This window comes from Homo sapiens, chromosome 10 (assembly GCF_000001405.40).
Source record: "Homo sapiens chromosome 10, GRCh38.p14 Primary Assembly".
In the NCBI taxonomy this organism is placed as follows: Eukaryota; Metazoa; Chordata; class Mammalia; order Primates; family Hominidae; genus Homo; species Homo sapiens.
The window spans coordinates 30,815,924-30,823,359 of record NC_000010.11 but is presented as its reverse complement, the minus strand read 5'-3'; the positions used below and the strand labels follow the sequence as shown (position 1 = coordinate 30,823,359).

Here is a 7,436-nt window from a genome sequence, read left to right as displayed (position 1 = left end):
GTCAGCAGCAGCTAAGTACGTGAGGTCCTGGGGGCTGGGACAGCAGGCAGGCTGTGCTGACAGCTCCAAGCACAGGTCCTCAGCCTTGCCGCACACAGGGATCTCTGAGGGAGCTTTCAAAACCCCGCGCCTGCTTCCACTTCAGAGACTTGGATCTACTTGGCCTGCGCTGCTGTGATTTCTAAAGTTTTCCAGGTCCAAAATATATTTTGACCTCAAAATGTATTAATTTGTTTGTTTGTTTGCCCTTGACAATGTTAAGGTTGGATCATCAAAGGCAAGGAAAGCTTTTAGGAGGCAGCTACTTTAGTCCAAGCCAGAAATGACAGAGGCCTAAACTGGGAGGTGAATTAGACACATTGTCGATTGACAATTCCTGGGTGTGGGCCATGCACACCAAGAAGGACACACAGGTGGGAAGGGTTGAAGGTGGATGCAGCAGGGCCTGGGGACAGCTGGATTTCAGGAATTAAGGAGAGGAAGGAAAGGGGGCCCACTTCCCCACGTCCAGCCATGCTGATAGTGACACCATTAACAAAGACCAGCAATCCTAGAGGCTACTGGGCGAAGAGAAGGCTGACGAGAGTGCCTGTGACATGATGAGGTTGAGGTGCCTGTGGTCATCTGGGTGGAGAGATCATCTTTTTCCTTTGTGTTCTCTTTCCTTCCAGTACCCATCTGTCACCCTGTTGTCAATGCCACCCTTGGAGGGATTCAGAAGGGGCGATGGGTGTTCAGAGTGAGGGGGACACCATTCTCTGGCTTGGTATGGATGCCGCGGGCTCATCCCAGGACCCTCCTAGTGTGATGAGCGCCGCGGCCCCTTCTGCCCCCACTGTTTGCTCCTCCTGCCCCTGAGAAGCCCTGCACCCACACTGGCCAGCCCTGAGAGGCCAGCAGGACCAGAGGGTGGCTAAGGAGTCCCGCAGAGCAGGGAGGATGGCACAGAGGCCGCAGCAGATGGCCACAGTGGCACCCAACATGGGTTTATTTAAAAACGTGAATTGTTCCAAGGATGGGGCTTTATACCTTCAGCAGGGAGGGCACTGGAGCAGTTTATGGGCTGTGTCATTGTGCATGCATGATCTCCATAGAGATTTGCTTTTGTGTTCTGTTGAAACACGCACCGCTCTAGCTTCTGCATTAGGCCTGCTCCTCTGGAGGGAGACAGAACTCCTCCTGAGGAAGCCTGTGCTGCCACTGGGCAGGGACAGGGGAAAGAGCTCAGGGGATAGAACTGAAATAACCCGCGCCACCTCGAAGCTCAGCCATGGATTGCAGAGGGCGGGAGTGGCTCCTTCCCTCCCAGCCGACGCCTCTGACTCCCTCCTCTCTCCTCACCTGCTCCCCTCTCTCCTGGCCCCCTCTCTGAATCCCTCTTCCTCCTTCCCCTGTGGCTACCCATCTCTTCTCTTCTCTCCCTCAATCTTCTTTAGAGAATTTCTGACACGGAAAGTTGCTGGGGGTGACACCTCTCATGCACACTCCATTTCCTCATCTCAAAAGAAAGCCCTTGGACTAGATGATTTCTAAATTCCTCCCCAATTCCATCACCCAGCCCCTGCTGGAGCCCCGCCCCATCACTGGCCCCTAGCTCGAAAATTATGTTTTACAAGTGCTGTCCCCCAATAATTCTAGATTCGCAGTAAATCCCTAGTCCCCCTAAAATATCTAGAAAAGTTTCTTCAGCTTTTTGTTAGGAAAACTTTACTGCCATAGGCACACAATTTACTTGCTTGTCATTTTTCTTTCCTGGCTAGGCAAGAGCCAAGGAGGTAGCACTTTTCTTCTGCTTCACTCCTAGGTACCCACGTCACTCGTAACACTCCCAGAAAGTACCCAAGTCACTGGTAGCACTGAACACAAAGCCACCAATGCACAGAGGAACCTTATCTTGACTGGGGTCGCCTTATCTCTGGCCACACACTAAATGCTGTGTTGTGATCTTGCTTCTGAACTTGCCTGAACTTGAGAGACTCAAAAGGAAGCTATTTCTTTAATCTGTCACAAGCAAAAGGCATTTCACTCCGGTCGTTCTTTAGTGACATTGCTGTCGAAGGTCTCTTAGGAGAGAGACTTCCAACAGGAGTTAAGAAGCCACACTAGCAAGGTTAGTTCCAGGCCTTTTGCTTTGAAAGTGTCATGGGCTGGGCATGGTGGCTCACATCTGTAAACCCAGTGCTTTAGGAGGCTGAGACATGGGAGGATCACTTGAGCCCAGGAGTTCGAGACCAGCCTGGGCAATATAATGAGACCCCCATCTCTACAAAAAATTTTAAAAACTAGCCAGATGTAGTGGTGCACACCCATAGTCTCTGCTACTCAGGAGGCTGAGGTGGGGAAATCACTTGAGACCAGGAGTTCGAGGCTGCAGTGAGCTGTGATCACGCCACGGCACTACAGCCTAGGCAACAGAGTGAAATGCTGTCTCTATAAAAATAAAAAATAGAAATAAAGAAGATTCCCCAGGAGGAAGCAGATGCTAACATGGGATTCCTTCTGAAATTCTCCAGGAGCTAGTGAATGATAAACACAGCTATAGCAAGGAGTTGTTAGAGGGAGGGCTTTATCAGTCACACACGTTATCGGATTGAACATTTCTACTCTGGCCTGTTAGAGTCTGTTCCTAAAAAATACCTCAAAATATATTAAGAGAGGAATGTCTCTGAATAAAAAGTTCAATCCAAAATTGCATTTAATCAAACGCAGTCACTTTCGAGGCTGGAGGTTGAAGGCATACCCAGAGAAGGGGGAAATGGGAAAAGTGAACTCAGTTGGCAGGAACAAACCATGACTAAATCCATCTCATTTCAGTAAAAACAGGCATGAGAGCGAAAGCAAGTTTTAAAACCGAATTTTCCCAGCATGACTCAGGGATTGTCTTTCTTATGCCAGTTTTCAATTTGTTTTTACAGATGGAGGAATGGGGGCTCACAGCCTTATCTAATCTCCAAATGAAGAATGGGCCCATCTGACATATCCTATGAGCACAAAGCTTAGGGGACTCTTCACCGAAACCTAGACAAATATTTGAATGCATTTTTTTTTTTTTTTTTTGGAAAGGGAGATAACGTCCAATGGGTCTGTTTTATAATGCATTTGTGTAAGGGGAACGGGAGGAAATGAGATTTAAAAATAAAACTGTTTACTTCAGAGGCTTGGGTTATAAAAGCATAGGTTTCTCTTTCAGGACTCTCTGAAGTTGGAAAGTATGAATTACATATACTCATTAAAATGTTTTATGTTAAATTCAAAGAGTAAAATTAGAAGCCATGTTAATGATTCAACCATGCAACAACTGGTCAACAGATGTTGGAACCTTATGGTTAAAAGATTACATGGTTTGAGCTGACAATTTACTGTATGTGTCCCTGGCAGAGACGAGGTATAACAAACATATTATCAGACACAGAAAGTATGCAGCCCCAGAAAGAGGGGACGTGCAAATCGGACTGCCTTCGATGCTTTCAAAGCAGCACATTTTCCCCCTAAACTGATATTGCAGAGAGCTGGGGTTTTTTTTCTTTCCTTAAGAATGAAGAGTTAATCTTATCTAAATTCACAGAGCCAGAAACCTGTCATATTAAATCCCAGGGAAGCCCAACATTCTTTCCAACTTGCTTGCTTGAAATGTAGTTGAGTTTTCCAGTGATCTGCTGGCTAACTAGCGTCATGCAAAATGGAGCCGTTCCTTACGGCTTTGCAGGTCTCTGGGATTCCAAGCTGGGGACTTCTCTCATTTTGGGGAAAAAGCCTGGGACCATGAAGGGAGGAAACTGGAGAGAAAGGCCAGGATGGACTCTGGGCGGCTGGGCAGAGACTGTGTGCAGGTTCGTACAGCTCCGGGCGGTTACAGTTCTGGTCCCCGGCAATGCCAAGCACCCTGTGGAAAAGTGGCCCAGGCTTCAAGCTTCAGAATCGGACTCCTACCCCTTAAAGCTGCAAGCTAGCAGAAAAAAAGAGAGCTGCAAGGGAGCTGTGAAGGGGAAGGGGTCTCCTCCGGAGGGAGAGACGACTGGGATAGCCTGTTTGGGACTGAGTGTGGGGAAATGTGACAAATTCAGCCTTTTCATCGTGCGCCCTGAGCCGAGCAGAAGCGGGGCGGTAGGAGATGATTCCGCTTGCTCCGAGTTTCCAAGCTCCTTGCTCCTTTCCAAATTGCTTGCGGCAATGTAATTCTTTCCTTCGGGGACAGGCAGAGCTCCACTGTTTTTCTGGTTTCCAGGGTGTGCCCATGAGTTACCCAGAGTGGGTGGAGCGGTGGGGCCACTCTGGAATAGCCTTGCGGCAGACGCGGCTGACTGCCCTCGAACAGAACTGGCGGATCCCAAGAAACCAACCACGCGGCAAGATTTGGGGAGCCCACAGCTTCTACTCAGACACCCCTGCAGAGTGTTTGCTCATTGCTAAAAACGTGCAGGCGTCGTAGGGAGTGTCCCCAGAGGCCATTGCCTAGCTTGCCTGCAAGCCCTTAGTGAGCACCTGCCCTGTGCGAGGTTCCGAGCTCCACTCACGCAGGTCCTGCCCTCAGGAGCTCACTGTATTGCAGAGACACAAGAGGACACCAGGGTGGCTGTCTGTTCTGTGCTGGGGGAGGCCAAGGGACTCCTCACCTGCCCATCTCTCAGGAGTTTCCAACCTTTCCCCGCCAGTCCAGTCTGTGACTGGCAAGTTACCAACTGCCCCTCTTCCTTGAAAACAGCCACCTTCCTAGGTGGGTCCTGGGTCTCTGAGCTTTCCTGAGATCTAGAGAGAGGAGGAAAAAGTGTCTCTGTCACAGCTGGGGCTTCCCTAGCTGACCCTCCTCCCCCGCCACCTCTGGAGCTGAGGTTAGCAAAGCCGTGCCTACATCAGCTGAGCTGGGGAGTTTGCCGGATGAGCAGGCCTGGTGGGGCAGTGACGTTTGAACATGTCAGGTGGACAGTTGTATGTCAGGAGGTGAGAGGAGAGGGGTTGGCTGGAGAGAGCAGGTTGGATTCACCAGCACTTGGAGCACCCAGAGGGAAGGGGACCCGCCAGAGAGGGCGAGGCCAGAGGAGGCCAGACGAGCCCGAGGGCAGTGAGGTCAGCCCCTCCACCCGCCAGCCTGCAGGGATGCCTCTGGGTCAAGGCTGCATGAGCAGGGTCCTGCTTGGCCACTTATCAGCCCCTACAGCCTTAGAAGCCAAGCCCCAGCCCACTTCCTCCTGTCGACAGCACTGGCTCCAGGCCAGTAGCTGTAGTCATGGCCTGTTGACCAAGGGCTACACGGGCCAGTGGCAGGAAGCTGCTGGTAACTCAATGAACAGACACGAGAGCTTGCAGAGTGGACTCCACAGCCTGCCTTGATTTCAGGTCCAAAGGACAGGTCCAAAACTGCACAGTACTGCAGTTCTGCACAAAATGGGTCCCTCTGCACCGTGGTTGGGTTGACTTTGAGGAGTGAGTTGAACCAGCTTCCCTCCAATACCCCAGTACCATGCATGGGGTTCCCTGGCAGCTCACGGGACAGAGCTTTGGACTGGTTCTCTCTCCAGCATCTAACCCTAGGATGAAGGTTGAAGAAGGGATTTCTCAACTCCTGAGCTCCCTTCTCCCTCTCTCCTGGCCCTCTCCCCAGTGGGGGGGCTCGGGGATCACAGACACATGCCTCAGTCTCGTTTTTTGAGGGCCATGGTCACATACCTAAAACCCAGCCACCTGGAGAGTCCTCTAGATGTTTAGATTCCCATGTTATTCTAGAGGAAACTTTGTTTGTTTGTTTGATTTTTGAGACAGAGTCTTGCTCTGTTGCCCAGGCTAGAGTGTAATGGCGCAATCTTGGCTCACTGCAACCTCCGCCTCCCGGGTTCAAGCAATTCTCTGCCTCAGTTTTCCAAGTAGCAGGGATTACAGGCACCCGCCACCATGTCCAGCTAATATTTTTGTATTTTTTAGTAGAGACGGGGTTTCACCATCTGGGCCAGGCTGGTCTTAAACTCCTGAACTCGTGATCCACCCACCTTGGCCTCCCAAAGTGCTGGGATTATAGGCATGAGCCACCGTGCCCGGCCTCTAGAGGAGACTTTTTGGTAACCTCAATCCATAAATCCATACTGAAAAATATTTGGCTGAAAATCCACACGTCTGGTGTTTTTTTTGTTTTTGTTTTGTTTTGTTTTGTTTTGTTTTCTGAGCATATGACCAGAAAGGATACAGGTCTTAAACCTTCTCCCCAAGGAGGCAGTGTAGTGAGTTAAAGACTTGAAACCCCAGCTCTACACCTTGCTGGCTGTGTGACCTTGGGTATGATTTAGCCTCTCTGTAAAATGGGAGTAGTAACAGTCCCTGGCTCACAGGGTGAAAGGAGTTAATACGTCAAGTTCTTAGAATAGTGCCTGACACATAATGAGCCCTCACCAAGTCCCAGGGACTATTATTACTCTCTGCAGGAGAGTGATAAATGTACACAGCCCTCTCGCCTAAACCAGATTGGAGCCATAGTCAGAAAATAGAACGTTTTACATTATTTAAGCCTGACCACTTGTGTATGCAGAGTCTTGTGTCAAACTGCAGCATTAAGGGGTCAAAGGGAGACCTATTTTGAGTTAACTGAAGGAGTTCTCTCTTACATTTTAGTTTAAATACAGCTTCTGCCAAAGGTGTACTTGGGAACAGGACGTATTAACATAATCTCATCCAGTGAATTAAATCCAGGCCTTGGAATGCAAAGAGAAAGAAGCCAGATGGGAAGGCTGGGTAGGGAGCTACGCACAGCCTATTTGCTCTTCATCCTTAGACTTTCTTACACGTCCGCAGGCCTGTCACTTCGGGGGACCATCAGCTCTGTCTCCCAGCCCCAGTGACCTGCTGTCTGGCAATTAGGAGGTGTACTTTCCAAGAATTCTGGATTTCCCTGAGTCTATAGCTTCAGTCCTCCTTTACCTGCTGATACAGTTTATATGTTTGTCCCCTCCAAATCTCATGTTGAAATGTGATCCCTGATGTTGGAGGCGGGGCCTGATGGGAGGTGTTTGGGTCACGGGGGCAGATGCCTCCCTCCCACGGTAATGAGTGAGTTCTCGCTCTATTAGTTCACATAAGAGCTGGTTGTTTAAGGGAAACTGACACCTCCTCTTTTATCTCTCTTGCTCCCTCTCCTGTCATGTGACATGCCTGTTCCCCCCCTTCCCCTTCTGCCATGAGTGGTAGAAGGTTCCTGAGGCCTCACCAGAAGCAAGTGCTGGTGCCATGCTTTTTTTTTTGAGGTAGGGTCTCACTCACTCTATCACCCAGGCTGGAGTGCAATGGCACCATCTCAGCCTCCTGGGTTCAAGTAATTCTCCTGCCTAAGCCTCCTGAGTAGCTGGGATTACAAGTGCCTGCCACCACGCCAGGCTAATTTTTGTATTTTGAGTAGTGATAGGGCTTCACCATGTTGGCCAGGCTGGTCTTGAGCTCCTGACCTCAAGTGATCC

At 50.0% G+C, this 7,436-nt stretch overlaps 1 long non-coding RNA gene across 1 annotated transcript, besides 2 other annotated features; it reads left to right on the top strand.

Annotated features, from left to right (window-relative positions):
• Positions 1–2,046: 2,046 nt before the first annotated feature.
• LOC124902405 (uncharacterized) lies at positions 2,047–3,155 on the top strand. The gene is made up of 2 exons (XR_007062104.1): positions 2,047–2,110; positions 2,916–3,155. It is a non-coding gene; the product is annotated as an uncharacterized LOC124902405 (long non-coding RNA).
• Positions 4,703–5,624: an enhancer, noted in NCBI's record as "H3K4me1 hESC enhancer chr10:31106665-31107586 (GRCh37/hg19 assembly coordinates)". NCBI's record gives its function as "activates a minimal SCP1, AML or CMV promoter by ChIP-STARR-seq in naive H9 embryonic stem cells {active_cell/tissue: H9 hESC(naive)}" and the evidence as "EXISTENCE:reporter gene assay evidence [ECO:0000049][PMID:30033119]".
• Positions 5,258–5,307: an enhancer, noted in NCBI's record as "active region_3229". NCBI's record gives its function as "activates an Ori minimal core promoter by ATAC-STARR-seq in GM12878 lymphoblastoid cells {active_cell/tissue: GM12878}" and the evidence as "EXISTENCE:reporter gene assay evidence [ECO:0000049][PMID:35858748]".